This window comes from Homo sapiens, chromosome 2 (assembly GCF_000001405.40).
Source record: "Homo sapiens chromosome 2, GRCh38.p14 Primary Assembly".
Classification (NCBI taxonomy): domain Eukaryota; kingdom Metazoa; phylum Chordata; class Mammalia; order Primates; family Hominidae; genus Homo; species Homo sapiens.
The window spans coordinates 99,743,292-99,763,430 of record NC_000002.12 but is presented as its reverse complement, the minus strand read 5'-3'; the positions used below and the strand labels follow the sequence as shown (position 1 = coordinate 99,763,430).

General features: G+C 40.4%; 1 protein-coding gene across 20 annotated transcripts in view; it reads left to right on the top strand.

Annotated features, from left to right (window-relative positions):
• Positions 1-20,139, top strand: part of AFF3 (ALF transcription elongation factor 3) — a 597,172-nt gene that overhangs the window by 379,160 nt on the left and 197,873 nt on the right. For all 20 annotated transcript variants that reach the window (NM_002285.3, XM_047444286.1, NM_001386135.1 and 17 more), the window contains 2 exons: positions 11,130-11,210; positions 19,291-19,327. In NM_002285.3, coding sequence (NP_002276.2) covers positions 11,130-11,210; positions 19,291-19,327 — 118 coding nt within the window. The remainder of the gene's footprint in view (positions 1-11,129; positions 11,211-19,290; positions 19,328-20,139) is intronic.

Here is a 20,139-nt window from a genome sequence, read left to right as displayed (position 1 = left end):
GATTACAGGCGTGAGCTACTGTTCCTGGCCTGTTAATATTAATCGATATGAATGCATTATATTTATTATTTTTCAAACTATACAGGTTTGTTTGTTTTTTACTGTAGAGTGGTAAAATAAGGTTGTTTGTGAATTTTTGTTGATTTAGAGGCCAACTTAAAGGTTTTAAGTGTGACTTCCTAGTTCTGAGCCTTCCAGCCTGACCCTGGAATCTGTGTTTAAAGGGGGATGTTGGGTCTTTGCCCACAAATGCTAGGAATGGATTGACAGGCAGAATGCACACTGCAGTCCCATTAGGGGAGGAATATGTGTCTCCCACTTGATCTTACTCCAGGGCTACTGCCTGGTGTCCCAGGTACAGGCCCGTAGGGGTGTTTTCCTCTTCACCAGGTACAGTGGCATTAGCTGCCAGCATTTAGATGAGATGCAGTGTTGTAAAAATCACCATGTCTGTTGTTGGCAGCACTTATCTGATAAGAGTGTCATAACACGAATAATACGTGTGAGAAGAACTGAAAAGCTGAATGATTATTCTGATACAGAAACTGAAAATGAAATCACACTGTGATCAGCAGCCACTGCCACACATAAACATCAACGTGAGCATCTTGCATTTTTATTCCCAAGTCGCAGAATTCATCCCGTGTCTTGTTTAGAAAACAGTAAGTTTCTGAGCACAAAGAATTCTGGAGTTAACTGCGGTCATCTGCCAGGCAGATCCTTCAATCCTGGCAACAGTCACATACGCTTGGTGAAACCAGTGTAATTTCTTGCTACCATTATTTCACAGGCAAGAAAAGAGACTTACAGAGAAGTTCAATTAATTCCTATTATTCTGACCATTGTGCTAGGCCTTTGAGGAGTTACAAGAGCATTATTAGACATGATCCCTTCCCTCGAAGAGTTTGTAATCTAGTAGGGATTTTAAAAATATTCTGATAGTGGTAACACATGACAAGAAAGCTCACAGCACTGAGTAGCATGTAGTTGCTAAATAAGTGGCATTGGCCGGGCACGGTGGCTGATACCTGTAATCCCAGCACTTTGGGAGGCCAAGGCAGGTGGATCGCCTGAGGTCAGGAGTTTGAGACCAGCCTGGCCAACATGGTGAAACCCCGTCTCTACTAAAAAATACAAAAATTAGCTGGGCATGGTAGCATGTGCCTGTAGTCCCAGGACTCAGGAGGCTGAGGCGGGAGAATCGCTTGAACAGGGGAGGCAGAGGTTGCAGTGAGCTGAGATCACGCCATTGCATTCTAGCCTGGGTGACAGAGCGAGACTCCATCTGAAAAAAAAAAAAAAAAAGTGGCATTGATTATATATAAGTGGAGGGTAGAGAGGGCTCGCTCAGGGTAGCACAGGTCACCTTCACAGACAGGCCAGGATGAGAAAGAATGCAGAGGTAAGTGAGATGGAATAACGTGAAAGGAAAAGAGAAACAAGATGGGGGCAGGAAAGCCTGGGGCAGGACAAGAAGTAAGACATCAGGCTTGGGGAAGACAGTGTATAGAAAAGCAGCAGGCGGTAATGCCACAGTGGTCCTTGATGGTGCCATGTGACAGAGCATCTTGAACAATTGGACCGGGGTCACTGGAAACTTTGGAACAAAGGTGACATAGTAAGTGTTCGAGATGGAACTCTCCTGTGGCAGTGACAGACAAGGGAGAGAGACCAGGAAAAGTGTTTTTCTCCTCACTTGTTTTAATAGGGAAATGAAAACATGGCTTAAATTTTTTCTAGTTGAACCTATTGTAAGCTAAACAGACTTTGCAGGTCTTCATAGCTGCACACTCTGAACTCGAAGATTTAACTTGAGGCTAAAATTCTATTTTTGTTTCTTCTCTCCTTTGGTAACAAAGAGCTGCTACGTGAGGTGGGGATGCCCAAGGCCTCCTGTCACTTGTCCTAAAACAGGCAGAGGCAGCTGGCATCAGAAGAGTGGTCAGCTACATGGAGGGCATTGTGCAGATGGAGCACATGAAAGTCTATGCACCATCAGTGTGTGGGTTCTTGGAGACTGGCGTCAGTCTTGCTGTAGAGTAGACGTGAAAATGGAAACTGGCCCATGTGCCCATGACCTCCTGAAAATTGGGATATGGAGGATAGAGAAAACGTTAGCCAGTTATGAAGAGCAATATTCTGTGTCCTTATCATTTAACCATCTATTCTTTCATTTTAGGAGAAAAGTGAGTATATTTAATATAAAGAGTCTTGGCATTATAAGCCTATACAAAAAAAAAAAAAAGAAGTCACCTGAACGTATCCCTTGAGTAACTAGACATCTGTGTAGGGAGAAGGGACTGGCGATGCTGTGTTGAGGCAGATACGTGGATTCTCAGTTCCATCACCTGGAGTATCTAAAAGGCTAAGGAGTGGGACATGGCAGCCTGCACCTGTGTTCCAGCTACTCGGGAGGCCAAAGCAGGAGGATCATATGAGCCCCGGAGTTTGAGGCCAGCCCGGGCAACTTAGTGAGACTTTATCTCAAAAAAAAAAAGGAAAAAAAAGGGCAGGTGACTAAGAAACCCCAAGGGCAAAACTGAGGACCTCTCAAGAGTAGGGGAATAGGGTACAGGCTTATTCCTGAGTGACAAGAAAATGAAAAAGGAGAGAAGGCAGACAAAGCAAAGAAAGGGCAGGGGAGTTTATAAGATCCGAAGGTCGCCAGCTAGACTTTGGAGTAAGTGGCTTTAAACATTACATTTCTCTTCCTGTCTTACATATGGTCTGGGAAGTGGTTAAAGGATGGCCAAAGTAGGTCAATAGAGGCAAAGCAGCAATGAAAGGGTGGTTGGGGGTGAAGTGGGGAACACAGGCAGGGGTGAGGACCATGGCTACAGTGACGTGGGATCAGTGTCCTTGTAATGAAATAGCATTGTTTCTCAGTGATAAAATAATGTGGAGCAAGCTAAGTGCAATTTTAGCAGGAATGATAAATTTTACCTTTGCTTATATTTTAAATCATTACCAGAAATGAGGTGCAAATGAAATACATTTTTATCAAATCGTATTATCCCACTGACTATTATTTTGTCAGAAATCTGTTTCTATGAAAAAACTTAGGGACATTTTCTCCAATAAAAAGTACAGATCATACTTAGGAATAATAATAATCTCTTTAAATATCTTTCTGTTTTAGTAATACATAGTTTGCATTAATAATCCTAGCTTAATTACAGGCTACATTTGCATGATACTTATTCTTTTATTTAAAAAACTCTTCCCCATATATTCTCTCATCTCAGACTCCCAACAACTAAAGCTCAGAGTGAAGTTATATTTCTCATTTTAGAGACAATTCAGAAACTCAGCTTGATATTAATCAGTACTGTCTTTTATTGAATGCTTAAATGGGAGGGGAACTATACTAGTTTCTTTATATATGTATGTATGTATGATCTCATTTAATCTTTATGACTAAACCATGGGATAGTTATATCCCCATTTCCTCTGGTTGTAAGGTACCACAAACTGAGATCTGATTGATCGTAAAGTCCACAGCTTGAAATCACGGTAGTTTACTGAGCATGTGACTTACCTAAGCTCAGGAGGCTAGCAAGTGATAGAAGAGGAAATCAGGATAGTCCATTCGCCCTTGATTTTCCCATGCAATTCTAGTGTGAAATTTTAATGTAATGGATAATCAATCTTATAAAAGCATTGTACCTCATAAATTACATTTTGTATGTATATTACATATTTTGTATTTGCATTACATTATAAATGTATTAAAATCATAGAAATAATTCTTAGGTTTTGGAAATTCTTACAGACCTGAATGCTTTAAGTAACCATATTTTCTTTACTATTCCTTCATGTAGTTAGTAGAATTTGTTAGATGGAAAAATCACACGGAAATACTTAGCTATAATTAAAGCAAAATTAGCAAGCAAGTTTGCATTGAAATGTGGATGTTCAGTTCAATTCAACAAGTTTATATAGAGCACTTACTATGTAAGATGTTCCAGTCTCCACAAAGATAAGTAAATATCCCTCTCAGAGGAAATTTATATTACTTCTTTAGGCGATTATGTTTAGTAAATCCAAATGCTCTTGAAAGGGATTATTAGAATTCCTATTTGGGGATTATGCCTAGTAAAACTGAATGCTCTTAAAAGAGATTATTAGGATTCCTAAGTATTGCTTTTATTTCACATTGGAGAAAGAGCATTCAAAGAGAGATAAATGGTTGGGTGTAGATTGAAGTACATATTCATAAAACTATAACACAAAACAGAATGTAAGAGAAAAAGAAATAAGTGCTTTGGAGGAGCATGAGCAGAGAACTATCCTATTATATTGGCATAGAAGGGAAATCTGCAAAAGCCTCAAGACACAAATGATGTTTGAGATGAGCCTTAATGGATAAAAAGAGACTCAGAGACATATGAGGAAGGGTATTCACACACTAAGGGGATGGTGTAAGTAAAAGCAGAGGCTAGTTTTTCTTGTAGGTAGAGTATTTGTAGAGCAATAAAAAGGCATGAAGCTGAAGACTGGGACCTTATTGTAGAAGGTCTTGAGTACTAGGGTGAGGATTCTGAGGGTAAATTCAATAGATTGGAAAACAAATACTGGACTGGGAGTAAAGAGTTATCTGGCCAAACCTAGAAACTGAGTGACCTTGGACTAATCAGTTAATCTTTTTGAGCTTTAACTTCCTTGCTGTACTATGGAGATGGCAATTGTTGCGTTAAAGATTGGGCATAAGTGACAAAATGCATGGGGAAGTATTTTGAAAACTAAAACTTAATAGGAGCCATCATCATCTTCAGCGTCACCATTGCCATCATCATCATCATTGTGATGTGATGATGCATATGAAGCTTTTTTTTTTTTTTTTTTGAGATGGAGTCTCGCTCTGTCACCCAGCCTGGAGTGCAGTGGCATGATTTCGGCTCACTGCAACCTCTGCCTCCCAGGTTCAAGCGATTCTTGTGCCTCAGCTGCCCGAGTAGCTGTGATTACAGGCGCGCGCCATCACGCCTGGCTAATTTCGTATTTTTAGTAGAAACAGGGTTTCACTATGTTGGCCAAGCTGGTCTCCCAACTCCTAACTTCAGGTGATCCTCCCTCCCGCCTTGGCCTCCCATAGTGCTGGGATTACAGGCATGAGCCACTCTGCCCGACCGCATGTGAAGATTTTTAGAGCAGTGAAGTTTTTCTGAATTACGAAAATTGAGTTTGCAGCAGTGTGGAGGGTGGACTGCTAACAGAAGACAGAGAACCAATCAGGATGCTATAAGAGTACTTCAGGTTAAAGATAATGAAGGTGTGATTAGGATGGCAGTTCAGGTAACAGAAAGGAGAGAAAGGTAGACACACTGCAGAGATTCACTGCTGAATGTTCAATTCAGTATTTGTTCAGAAATGAAGTGAGCACCCATTCTGCTCCAGGCTCTGTATTAGGTGCTGGGCCACCAGACAAAAAATACACAGCCTTGAGGGGTTCATCACAGGTTAGAGGGGAGGCACTGATGTATAAACAAGTAACCACAATAGAGGGGACAAGTGTTCTAAAAGAGACCTGTACGTGGGAAATGTGGCACAAAGGAAGGTTGAGTCAACGGTGGCTTGGTTTGGCCAAAGAAGACTTCATAGCAAAGGAGGAAATGGAGCTGGGTCTTGACTGATGAGTAAACAACCCAGCAAACAATAGGAGGTTGGGAGGTGCTACCAGCATGTGCAAAGCGTGGTATATTCAGGGGATCTCAGCTTGAGAGGCTGGAGTTAGGAGTTGGCTAGAATATACAAGGTCTTGGATCCACTTAGAGGTAGCCCAGGATATGGTTAAGTCCAGCTGCTGGGTGAACTTCAGCAAATCACTTAACCTTTTAGTGACTTAGTTTCCTCATCTATAAAGTAAGAAAATAATAAAGCCTACCTTTCAGGGTGGGTATGAGAATTAAGCAAATCACATAAAGCGTTTAAAATCGTGCATAATATATTTTAAATGCTTAATAAATGAGAATTATTGTTATTATTATGAGAGAGGGAGTGAAAGAGAAGGAATCTGGCATAACTCCAGGTATGCTGACTTGAAGAGTTAATAGATGTTGCTGCCATTAACCAGCATATAAAGTACAAGAAGAAGAAAAGTTTGTGTGGCGTGTAAGTTTAGCTTTAAACATGGTGAGTTTGAATCGCTCATGAGCACCCAGGTTGAGTGGCTCAGTAGACATCTAGAGTGGGCACGTTAGACCTGGATGTGCTTTTAGGCATCACCAGCATACCACATGGTTTTTAAAGCCACAGTAGCAAGATCAGCCAGGGAAAGAAGGGTAGTGAGAGGAAGGCTGAACACAAAACACCCAAGGAACAGTGAGAGAAAAGAAGTTTCAGCAAAAAAGAATGAGCATGAGATCTCCGAGAGTGGAGCTGGGCCAGGAGGACAGCGTGGGAGCCACGGGGGAAGAGAGTCAGGGGGAAATGAGCATTCAAGGAAATCCAATGCCCTTGACAACAGAAGGAGTTATGTCAGGGCTGCTTCTATTGAAAGTGGTTGCTAAGGTCTTGGAAATGTGAAGGTGGGTCATGAGTTCACAGGTATTCGTTTCATTAATCTTAAGCTTACACACACACATGCACAATATTATATGGACTCTTATGTGTATAATCTGCAACAAAAAATCTTAAGTCAAAAATAGAAATGGTAGGTGAGGATGTCAAAACAGCAAGTATAAAGACTTCTTTGAGAGTGTTAGCTATCAAGAGAAATAGAGAAATGAAGATCAGCTGGAGGAGGAATACAGTGTCAGGAAGGGCTGAGGCCTGAGATCATTTGTCAGTCTTGGGGGAAAAAGCCAGTGGAGAAGGAAAGATTGATGTTAAACCAATACCAGTGAGATACTGATGGAACTGGATCCCCAAGGACAGAGTAACAGACAGAGGGTGCAGGCAGGTATTAGCTTGGAACTCATGCCTCTTCCAGTCAGACCAGAAGGAAGGCAACGGGGTCAGGCATGAACACCCACAGGTCTGTCCTTGGGAAACATTTACACTTAAGAGCCTTTGTTTATTCAGTGCCATAGGAGGCAGGGTCACCTGTTGTGAGAAAGCAGGGATCAAAGTGAGGCTCAAGAAAAATCACCAATGTGGAAAGAATGTTTGAGGAACTCAGAAAAAGGAACAGACTAGGAATGAATTCAAGGATTGCCCAAGCCACATGGCCCAAGCCACCACCAGATTGCCCAATTGCCTTTAAAAACCAATAGAAAGACATGAAGGTAGGGAGGGCAGGAGGCGATTTTGGAGGGAGCCATTAGGCTGATTTAAAGGGGTGGAGTGGACAGAGAAAGATGCAGATCATCTTTAATGAGGATCCAGAACCACCTGGCAAGAGCCTCAAAGGAGAAGGAAAGGAGGGCCCAAGTTTAGAGAAGTCCGTGTCCTACTTCTGTATCCCACCATTGTGCACAGTTACCTTTCCTAAGGAGCCCAAGTATAGAATCAGAGAAGCCAGAATGAGAGCTTGGTCCAAAAATGGAGACATGAGGGCTTGATCCAGATTTGTATGGACCTACCATTGATTCTCCCCTTGTGTAGGAGAAGCCAGCTAAGATGTCTGCAAGGTGGCTAGTGTTGGGTGTTGAATTTCAAGAGCAATTTGATATGCCGATTTTTACCGGATGAGAAATAGGGCCTGGCGATTCCCTGGAATGAGCTGGCTCAGAGTAGACTGGGAAAAGCCAAGATTCCGAATCTTCAAGACGAAGTCCAAAGATCAGAGTTAAAGTCAGGGTTGTGAAGCCAAAAATTTGAGGGGAGCAGAGATGGACTCAGAAGAAGAACATGTCAAGAAGGTGAAAAGAAATGCTTGGGGGTGCCCATAAGATTGCCCAGTTGCCTTTAAAAAACCAATAGGGGCCGGGCGCGGTGACTCACTCCTGTAATCCCAGCACTTTGGCAGGCCAAGGCAGGCGGATCACCTGAGGTCGGAAGTTCGAGACCAGCCTGACCAACATGGAGAAACCCCATCTCTACTAAAAATACAGAATTAGCCAGGTGTGGTGACGCATGCCTGTAATCCCAGCTACTCGGGAGGCTGAGGCAGGAGAATTGCTTGAACTGGAAGGCAGAGGTCGCGGTGAGCTGAGATCGCGCCATTGCACTCCAGCCTAGGCAACAAGAGCAAAACTCCAGCTCAAAAAAAAAAAAAAATAGGAAAATATCATGAAGGTAGGGAGGGCAGGAGGCAATTTTGGAGGGAGCCGTTAGTCTGATTTAAAGGAGTGGAGTGGACAGAAAAAGATGCAGCTCATCTTTAGTGAGGGTCCAAAACCACCTGGCAAGAGCTTCAAAGGAGAAGGGGTATTTGCATGAGGACAGCAAGCTAAGAGAATGTGTCATCTGCCTTCTGTGGATATTGCTTTTGAGGTTGGGTGGTTATTGGATTAATGAATAGGTGAGTTGGAGGGAAGGAAGAAAGAAAGAAATGGAAAGATTGATTACAAGCATAGCTGGAATTAGAGAAGAAAGACTGATAATAGACACAGCCAGAGCCGATACCCTAACTTTCAAATTCAGTAGATGCTGAACTGAGCACTTCGTGTACATAAGACACAGTTACAGTGCCTGCCAATGGTAAGTTTTCAGGAAATGTTCAGGGGATGAGTGGGTGCTCAGGGATGGACCCTGATTAAGGTACGAAGATCAGGAGGACAGTTTCCACCCTTAAGAATCACAGCTTAGTGGTATCTCAAAGTTTGTCTGCTATTCCACTCTTGGATAAACGGTGTATTAAACAGATTTGAACCTGAAAGTGTCAGTTGTAAGAAGCTGTTGGTCTAGGAAGTGTTCTTTTGAAAGTACTGTTACTCATTTTTTATGGACTTTTCATTTTATTTATTCTTGAGTTGCTGGAGGACACGCTGAAATAATAGTTTATCTTTTTGGATTTTAGCTACAGTCAGAGAAAAATTGCACAAATGTGAGGCATTCTGATACACAGAGGGAGTCTGTATGCAAAGTTAACATAGACATACCGGGGTGGTATGTGTAAGTCTGATGTTTAATCATGAGTAATTAGTTTGTACTTCGCAATGTTGTCCCCTGAGGATCAGACAATGTAAATTGTGTAAGCGAAAGAGTGATTGCAAAGGAAGCTATTGAGTGGCTGATTAGCAGTGGGATGGACTCAGGGACACATCAGACAGTCAACAAAAGAGGAAAAGGACAATTGGTTTAATAGTTTGTAATTGATGAATAATTTCTCTACAGAAGATTTGAAGCCACTTATAGCAAAATCACATATCCTCTCCAGTAATGAAAATGGAAGGATAAAATCAGAAACCTTGTAGAGGAGAGATGGCCCTATGGGGGAGCCAAGGTATGGAAAACCCACTTGTGTCTTCATGGCTTTCTTAATCGGGTAGTAACACTCTGGGTAAGAGCTGACCAGGTCCTAGACAAGGTGGCCCAACTCTGAGAATGACGAATAGTTCCTTGACTCCATGGACAAAGATGCCACTGTGGACGCAAACTTGACAGTCCTGCTTATCAGCCTCCTCAAAGGGAGACCAAGGCACCAGCAGGGCAGAGATGGGAGGAGAGAGGGACAGTTTAAAGGGTCACTGGATCCACCTTTGCTTTGCTTTGTGATGTATAAAATTGTATACAATTGGTTGGTAACACCAGAATGGAGAAGGGACACCTAGAATGCGTATGTGCCTAACCCACCTACTGTCTGTGTCACGTGTCGTGGTGTGGGAGAGATGATATGGGGTCAGTAAATCCTTCCCACATGGCTTTGAACACACTCGCCCTCCCACGGCTTCCTGTGTGGGTTCTGCACTATCTGAGGTGCTGGGGGAGGTGAATGACCCAAGAAAAGAAGGTGCCCGACCATTCCCAAGAGCTCTTTCCTTCCAAAAGCCTGACAGAATCGCTTTTCAACACCCACCCGCCAAAGGGAGGTAAGGAAATGTCCTCACCTCGAGCGAGAGAATTTCTCACTTTTCTGAAAATGGATCGACCACTGCTTCTGTGCTTGCTTAGGTTTGGAAGTGCAGGCAAATCAAGAAATAGGGTTCGGCCAGGCGCAGTAGCTTATGCCTGTAATCCCAGCACTTTGGGAGCCCAAGGTGGGCGGGTCACCCGAGGTCAGGAGTTTGAGACCAGCCTGGCCAACATGGTGAAACCCCATCTCTACTGAAAATACAAAAATTAGCCAGGCATGGTGGCACGCACCTGTAATCCCAGCTATACAGGAGGCTGAGGCAGGAGAATCACTTGAACCTGGGAGGCAGAGGTTGCAGTGAGCCAGATCACGCCACTGCACTCCAACCTGAGCAACAGAGTGAGACTCCATCTCAAAAAATAATAATAATAATAATAATAGGGTTCACATCTAATTCGTAAACTCCAAGTTGGCGTCCTGGTCATCAGAAATCAATGTAATTCTGTAATCATTTATTGATTGGAACTCCCTTCCAGAGATGAAACTGAAGGTGAATACTGGAAGTGAATAAAACAACCCCTCTCTCCCTTTCCCAAGGCTTAGAGAAAGTGTGTCAAAAAGTGGATGAGAAATTATTCCATGTTAAGCTCATGTTGTGTTCTTAATACTGTGTTATAAGAAATGACATCATTCTGTCTCTGTATTTCATAGGCGTGATTTGTTTTTTCACTCTCCGTGAATGACATTTTATGAAGACCAAAGTGATGTGTGGGCCTTATTGAGAACTGATACTTTATTTCTAATTGTATAAATAACTCCTCTAATAAAGATTCATAAAGTTAAAAGTACCTTATGCATTTCTTTGGAGACACCCTGTGAATTCTGTGGGATCAAGTCCGAGTCCCCTTCATGTGGCATTTTCCATAGAACTTTTGCTACTAGATTGTCCCTTTACTCAGGACCTTAAATGAAGTGAAAATAGGACAGCCTTGCAAACTTTTTTAAGGTATAAAGGGAGCATGGGGAGAGCCAAGGAGTCAAGAATTGGTAAAATTAGGAAATGAAATCATAAAAGTGGATTTCACATCTTTTTTTAAAATTCTTTCAGCCTTTGTACATTTTTTAACCCTTCCCTGCCTTATGAAGGCCCACTTGTACAGCTGCTTTACATACCGCTGATTTTAAATACTGTCTGTATCACAATATTGTTTGTTTTTATCCCGTCCTTCAGGAGATGACCTGGCTTCCACCACTTTCTGCTATTCAAGCACCTGGCAAAGTGGAACCAACCAAATTTCCATTTCCAAATAAGGTGAGATCTTGCATCCCTCAGGAGGAATATGTTTCACTCATGCAGGCATTTCTAGTGGGCAGTGGGCTTTACCCGTGATTGTCTTTTCTTCTGTAAATATTCCTGCCAGAGGCACGTGAATCTGATCCTTCACAATTTGCAAGCGCATACTTATTCATTTATGAAAGGGGGAGAATCAAGCCTCCAATCTTACTTACCTACACTTCTCTGCAAAATGTGATACTACTGTAATTATCATTTTGTCTAAAAAACATTCATGAAGTTGAAATGCATCTTATAATCATTTTAAACATTCAATGTGATGTATAAAATTGTATGTCCTGGATTTTTCTGAAAAGCTATTATTAAATTAATGATGTATCTTAAAATCAATGTCTTAGTATTGAAGACGTGTGGTATTTAATTTCCCTGAATATCTTTTTTAAAGCTTAAGATATTTTCTAGGACTTAAAAAAAGATATCTATATTTTCTAAGGAAAAGCACACCAAAAAATTGGCCACAAAATAAATGACTATATACATGAGTCTAATAGGCTTTCTTTGATTTGAATAACTGACACATACTACATACTCATTATGAAGGATCAAATTATACAAATGGGAAGAGACCAAAATCTCAACATCCCTGGCACTCCAAGCCAGAGATTATTTCCCTACCCAGAGATTACTATCAGGAGTTTATGTGCCATTTCATTTTCCCTGTGCATTATATATAGAAAATATGTATATTTTTCCAATTCCTAAGTTGTATAGTAAGAGCATTTTTTCCAAAAGTTGATTTTTTTCAACAATATGTATCGTTACTAAATATCAATATCACAGCTTTCTGGTCAGGCATGATGACTCATTCCTGTAATCCCAGCACTTTGGGAGGCCAAAGCAGGTGGCTCAGTTGAGGTCAAGAGTTGAAGACCAGCCTGGCCAACATGCTGAAACCCAATCTCTACTAAAAATACAAAATTAGCCAGGCATGGTGGTGCATGCATGTAATCCCAGCTACTTGAGAGGCTGAGGCAGGAGGATCACTTGAACCTGAGAGGTGGAGCTTGCAGTAAGCTGAGATTGTGCCACTGCACTCCAGCCTGGGTGACAGATGGAGACTGTTTCAAAAACAAACAAAACAAAAAAGTAAATAACTGTCAATATCACCGCTTTCTAAGGTGAATTATTGAAAGAATTGTTCATGCTGTTATCACAAAGATAAATTCCATTCTAAGAGTTGATTTTTCTTACAATAAAACGTATTTGAAGACCTTTTCAAGTGAATATATAGAGATTTTCTTCATTCTTCAAAACAGCAGCAAAATATTTTGTATAAATTTACCATAATTTAATCAGATTCCTTTCAGTGGACACTGAGATTATGTATGGCTTGTTATTATTACAAACACTGTTAGATCAAATGCCTCTTTGAATGCCTCTAATAAGGATACCTTGAGTAGGAATTGTGGTTCTGGGCATCAGAAGCCACAGTTACTTTGGATTGTGTTTCAAGAGTACTTTTGGCCAGGCGTGTTGGCCCAAACCTGTAATCCTAGCATTTTGGGAGGCCAAGGCAGGAGGATTGCTTGAGGTCTGGAGTTCAAGACCAGCTTGGGCAACATAGTGAGACACCATCTCAACAAAAATATGAAAAAATTAGCCAGGCATGGTGGCACACCTGTAGTCCCAGCTACTTGGGACGCTGAGGTAGCAGGAGGATCACTTAAGCCCAGGAGGTCGAGGCTACAGTGAGCTATGATCACGCCACTGCACTCTCGCCTGGGTGACAGAGCACGACGCTGTCTCAAAAAAAAAAAAAAGAAAAGAAAAAAAAAAAGTACTTTTTACATATCTTTGCCAATGATTATTATCATCTGGGTTTTTTATCAGTGTGTCTGTATGATGAATGAAAAGTTGATATCTTGTTGTTTTCATTTGCATTTTCCCAGTTACTTCTAAGCTTGAGCATTGACTGTTTTTCCTTTGCAAATTGCCTGTTCATTACCCATTACCACTTTTTAAAAACTAATTTGTAGGAACTCCTTAACTCTTATTCATTTATCTATTATATATGATACAACTACTTTCTTGCAAACCTTTTTTATGTGCTTTTACACTAGCAAAGTGTTTAATTTTTATGTCAGAGAAAAAAGATCTTTCCTGCTCCAATATTCTAAGTGTCCTCTATTTTATTCTAATTCTCTTATACTTTGTTTTAGTTGTGGATGTTACGATGTAGGATTCTTGTTTTCTTCTTTTCAATGGTCAGTAAGTTATTATAATACTATCAGTGTAATAGCCCATTCACCCCATCACTGGTTTGAAATACCCTATGTCAATAGTTGAGCTTCTCATAAATACATGGATTTGTCTCCGGACTGTCTATTCTGTTTTTCGACATGTTTATCTAATTCTTTCCCAAGAATTCATTGTTCGAATCAGAGGTCAAGAAGCTTTTTCAGTGAAGGATCATATAGTAAATAGTTAAGGCTTTGTAGGCAACACCTCAGTGAATGAAATGTGGCATCTCATTGGTGGAATTGACATCAGAACCCATGTGAAGTTCCCAGGCTTCTAGCCCTTCCATTGAGTACAGGGGAATTTAACTGAACAGTTTATTCAGTGTGTACTTCCAGTGGCACCCTGCCATCCTTAGAATAAAATGCACAATGCTTAGAATCTTTGCACGTAATCTAGCCAAGATAATCCAGACCCAAAATAGAATCATAGACATTTTTGTTATGTGTAGGTATCATGGTATAAGTACAACTTTTGATATAACTGGGCACATACCAAAGCACAGTTTATTACGACTTTTCCAAAAATATTGTACCAGTTTGTTCTGTTTTGTTTCATGTAGATGCTTAAGTGCAAGTAATGACTTGACTTCTGAGGTAAAATTAAGACTTTAAATCATTAGTACAAAAATTTCATTTTTTAGCTCTATTGAGGTGTAATTGACAAAAATTGTATGTATTTAAGGTAAACAACTTGATGTTTTGATATTGTGAAATAATCACCACAATCAAGCTAATTAATATATCAATAGTTACCAAGTTATATATCACATAGTTACCATTTTCTTTTCTCTTTTTGGTGATGAGAACATTACCTCCTAATAAATTTCTAAAGATCTACCCTCATTGTTAACTATAGTCACATTTCTGATACATCATATATTATTCATACACACACATATGTGTACACACACACACAGCATAGACATTGTACTGCGTGAACTAAGCCAGACACAGAAAGCCAAGTACTAGATGTCATTACCTATATGTAGAATCTAAAATCGACACACAGAAGCAGTGAGGAGAATCGTGGTTTCCAGGGGCTGGCAGCTAACACTTTTGCTGATTTTTCGTCAATGAATAGGTGTTACAGAGCCATCCTTGGGTCAAGAAAGTAATAATGGTAGCCTTCCTCATGTGAGACTTGTTATCAAATTGTTAACTTTAAATATGTACGGTTTGTGTTATTGTCACTTATACTTTTTTTTAAAGTCATTGTTGAAAAAATAATTACTGTAATGGAAGTATGACACAGTGTAGCAAAAACATTAGAGTCAAGAAGGTTTCAAAGCACAGGGTAACCCTTGAGTTTACCTGTGCAGAGCCTCGAAGGAAGAATGAAATTTGCCAGGCAGGAAACAGAAAGCAGCAGGATGAGCATTCCAGGGGGAGGGGATCAGAACAGGATACACAGCTGGAAGTATTGGGAGTGGCAGTCACCACATCACTTTCAGCCTTGGGCTCTAATGATTTGTACACATGTCACCTCCACCGCTAACTTGCTGGACTCACTTCTGTAACCCTTAAAAAGCCTAGTAGAGAATCTTGCAGGCCTAGTAGAGTGCTCCCAGAGGGGGACAATACCAATGCACAGATGGGGCTGGACCTCCCCAGGCACCTACCTACAGAAGACATTTGCAAGGGGAGAGAAGGCTGGTGAGACAGAAGCTACACATATGTAGGTATCTGGATGGGGTGGCAGGAGACACAAAAGTGGAAAGGACTTCAGTGTGTGGTCCCTTTGGAGAAAGGAACTTTGGTCTCCCTCTGTTCTGGACCCAGCCTTGCTCTGGCTCTGTGAAGAATAAGAGAGCTGCATAGCCTGTGGGGCCCCTGGGGTTTTGCAGCTGGCTGGGAAGAACAGTCCTCCTTCAAAAGCTGCAGCCCCAGGACCCGAGGTTTGCCAGCAGACACCTTATCAGGGTGTCTGATAAGAGGACCTAAAATGTGGGAGTGGCCTGGTAAGGTAGCTGACCCCTCCACAAGCAGGCTGGCCAAATGCCGGTAAGAATGATAATGGGACATTATTTGTACCCGCAGAGTGGCACAGTTTAGAACACTGGGTTTATAGCCAATTACTTTGGCACTAGCAGTTGTTGTTTCAATGTACCACCAAGAAAACATCAGCTAGCAACATGAGAGTATATATTAGGGACAAAGTCTTTGATTTTATTCTTGCCTCTCCTACAGAAGACTTCCACAGAGATTTTTTTTATACCAATTATTTCAACCATTTTGAAGTCTCTCTTCACTCCCTATCACACAAAACAGAAATAATAATGGTTATTAATCACACAGGTGTTTTAGTTAAAATTTAAAGTTTACTATCTATGGGATACATGATCTTATGGTTTGTAATCCTAATTCAGGTCATCTGTAAGCTCATCTCTGGTTCTCTGCTTGTGATCAACAATCATCCTGTGGGTTTTAGGACATACCAAGAAATTAACAATTTCAGCTAGGCATGGCGGCGCGTGCCTGTAGTACCAGCTACGAAGGCAGGAGGATCGCTTGAGCCTAGGAGTTTGAGGCTGCAGTGAGCCATGATCGTGCCACTGCACTCCAGACTGGGTAACAGAATGTGGCCCTGTCTCTAAAAAATAAATAAGATAGGCCGGGCGCAGTGGCTCAAGCCTGTAATCCCAGCACTTTGGGAGGCCGAGGCAGGTGGATCACTTGAGGCCAGGAGTTTGAGACCAGCCTGGCCAACATGGTGAAACCCCATCTCTACTAAAAATACAAAAAGTTAGCAGGGCCTGGTGGCAGGTGCCTGTAATCCCAGCTACTCGGGATGCTGAGGCAAAAGAATTGCTTGAACCTGGGAGGCGGAGGCTGCAGTGAGCTGAGATCGTGCCGTTGCACTCCAGACTAGGCAACAAGAGCAAAACTCCATCTCTAAATAAATAAATAAGTAAATAAAATAATTATATTTTGTGTTAACAGTCTTAGAAAAAATTCTGTTCTTTTTTTCCTTTCTTTTTTTTTTTTTAAATAAGCTTAATGCTGGAAACTATGTCAATTACCATTCTTGTCCATTTGATGGTGTGTATTTCCCCTCCCTAGTACAGATGCCACCAAATGGCCCAGATCTACAGACAGCAGAGTTAACTAAATGGGACTCAAAGTATTTTCACGTGCCAAAGTTAAAACTAACTTATGTCCAGATATAAACTCTTGAATTCCCTTGAAGAGAAGGAAAACGTACCAATCTACATGGGGGATTTAATTGTGGATGTCTTCTTAGTGACAGCATCTATCCAAAATAGGCCAAAATCATTCTTACAGATGATATTTTAGTCCATTTCAGGAACGATATTTCATCTTCATATAATCATTTCCAAAAACTGAATCTCAGGGTGAGAGTTGAGCTTGTTCTTTTTCTTCAGTTGAATAGCTCATTATTACCATAATTGAAAGAGGTTTATTAGGCATCTGCATATGACTCAGGCTGTTTAATAGAGTGGGAATCCCTTCCCGTCTCAATTTTCCTACCCAACCTCTGCCCACCGACTGGCTCATTTTATACTGTTTCAGTAGAATTTCTTTTTAAAGCAGACATTAGTACTTGGATTTGAATATAACACAAGTCACATCAAATGACACCCTTTACCCCATAACAGCTATACTCGTGGAACAAAATTCTGGTAAAATACATTAAGCCACGTAATAGAAGTTCATTCAATTTCAATGGATTTTTGTTCCATGTGCCAAAATTTTAAAGGAGTTTTGCTGGATTTTATGTCCTGCTACCTTTTTTTTTTTTTACATTCCTATTCACGCATTCTTGTGTAAGTCTTTCATATTTAAATTTTTTTTATTTTAATAGCTTTTGGGGTACAAGTGGTTTTTGGTTACATGGATAAATTATATAGTGGTGAAGTCTGAGAGTTTAGTGTACCCATCACCTGAGTAGTGTACATTGTACCCAGTATGTAGTTTTTTTATCTCATGTCCCACTCCTATCCTCCCACTTCTGAGTCTCCATAGTTCATCATATCACTCTATGTGCCTTTGCATACCCATAGCTTAACTCCCACTTATAAGAACATATGGTATGTGGTTTACTTTCTATTAAATGAGAATTTTGCAAAGAAAGAGGATGTAAATCCTCAAAACAGATTTTAACATTTTGTTTTAATGCAAGTAAAATCAAATTCAATCTCTATTTACCTGAGCAATAACTAAACTTAAAATACTGTGTAGTACTGGCTTTATTCCATTGCAGATAAGTAGATACCATACTAATCTTTTTATCCACCATCGTGAGATTGACAACAGTTGTTTAATAGAGTGTTACTGGTGGGATGATTGCCAAACCCATCTACAGGAAATGGGTGGCAGTAAAGGTTCATTCAAAGAAAAGTTAGATTAAAAGTCAATATGATAATAGGTCAGTGGCATGAGTATAAGAACCCAAACCATAAGTATCAGGGAGGAAAACATAGGTTTAAATCTTCATGACCTTGGATTTGGCAATGGATTCTTAGCGATGACACCAAAAGCATGAGCAACAAAAGAAAAATTAGGTAAACTAAACTTTATTAAAAATTTTTAGAACTTTAAATTTAGAAAATTTAGAACTTTTGTGCATCAAAGAACATTACTGATAAAATGAAAAGACAATTGACAGGATGGGAGGAAATACTGCAAATCATAAATGTGGTAACAGTCTAGTATCCAAACTATATCAAGAACTCATTCAACTCAACAACAAAAAGACAAACCAATTAAAAAATGGCAAAGGACTTGAATAGATATTTCTCCAAAGATGTACAAATGGCCAACAAACACATGAAAAGATGCTCAACATCATTAGTTATTAGGGAAATACAAATCAAAACTGCAGTGAGATACCACTTCATACACACAAGGATAGCTATCATTTTTTAATGGAAAATAACAAGCATTGACAAGGGTGTAGATAAATTGGAACCCTCAAACATTGTTGGATTGCAAAATGGTTTCACTGCTGTGGAAAATCGTTTGGCAGTTCCTTAAAAAGTTTAACATAGAGTTATATAACCCAGAAATTCTGCTCCTAAGTATATACACAAAAGGATTGAAAACATGGACTCGAACTAGTGTACATACCTGCATATTCGTGGCAGTATTATTTACAATATCCAAAAGGTAGAAACAGCCCAAATACCCATTAACAGATGAATGGATAAACACATTGTTGTATATCCATGTGACGCAATATTATTCAGCCATAAAAAGAATGAAGAACCGATACATGCTACAGAGTGGATGAACCTCAAAAACATTATGTTAAGTAAAAAGCCAGTCACAAAGGTCACATATTGTATGATTCCATTTATATGAAATATCCAGAATAGATAAATCCAAGAGACAGATGGAAATTGGTGGTTGTGAGGGGCTGGGGCATTGGGAGGGCAGGGGTATGGGAGACCCTGCTTAATGGGTAAGGGATTTGACTTCAGAGTGATGGAAATATTTTGTAACTAGATAGAGGTAGTGGTTGCACAACCTTATGAAAGTACCAAATGCCACTGAATTGTTCACTTTAAAATGGTTAATTTTAATGTTATGTGAACTTCACCTCAATAAACAAAACAGAAAGTCATTAATACAAAAGAAAAATGATTGTGAAGTATATTCCCAGAACTGCTTAACATGTATGTGTCCACCTTCATGTATATGTTTCTCATTAAAGTAGCTGATAGAGATTGAGAGCAATGAATCGGTTCTGAATGACCAGTTTTAAACATGATCTCATGTTTAACTTGGATTTTGAAAGTCAAAATAAGAAAATTAATTGATATTTCTTGTTCTTTCAGGACTCTCAGCTTGTATCCTCTGGACACAATAATCCAAGTAAGAAAGACTTCGCTCTGGAGTTTCATCTGGGGAGCAGGGGGTGGGGGCAGAGGGCAGAAGGGGAGGGAGGATGAGCACACATTGGACAGTAGGTTTCAAAGAAATTCACTAAAAAACTGGGGAAAGGGGCCATTTGTTCAAGTGCTGCCCAAATGAATAAGATTTATGATGACCTTAAGTGTGCATATTCAAGGAAAGGAAGGCCAAAACAGAAAATGGTGAATTTCAAAGCCATCCCAAGAGAAAGGAACTTCATGCTTTATTATGGCTGTTCCTAGTATATGTGGAGGGAGAAAAAAACTTAAAAGGCACATAATTGGTTGTCTAAATTAAAGGAAAATGAGTGGGCAAAGAAAATCAATCAGTAGACCTTAAGATAATTGACCTTAGAATCCATGAAGAAAAGTCACAACCGGCTGGGTATATGTACTGTGCCCTCTTCCAGAAATAGACAGACTCAACTATCTAAGAAGCAGTTTCCTTATTGAATTGGTGGCTATTAAAACACATGGGCTTTTTTGTCAAAGAGAGGATGCTATCATTCCATGAAGTAGTGTTTTAATTCTCTTCTTTGGCACTACTAATTGGTATTAACGTTGGCTTGAGCATTAAAAATTCATAAGCTACCCTGCTCGTGTCCTAAAAGCACACTCACAAAGACTGGGCTTTGTTAGTTTCACGACCAGCCAGCAAGCTAAGAGCACCCCTTGCCAATTACAAAGCTGCATTTGAAGACTGAACATCCTCTGAGCTGTAGATCTGTCTGTGGAACTGAGGCTCAACCACTGGGCATCTGTGAGGCAAATGGG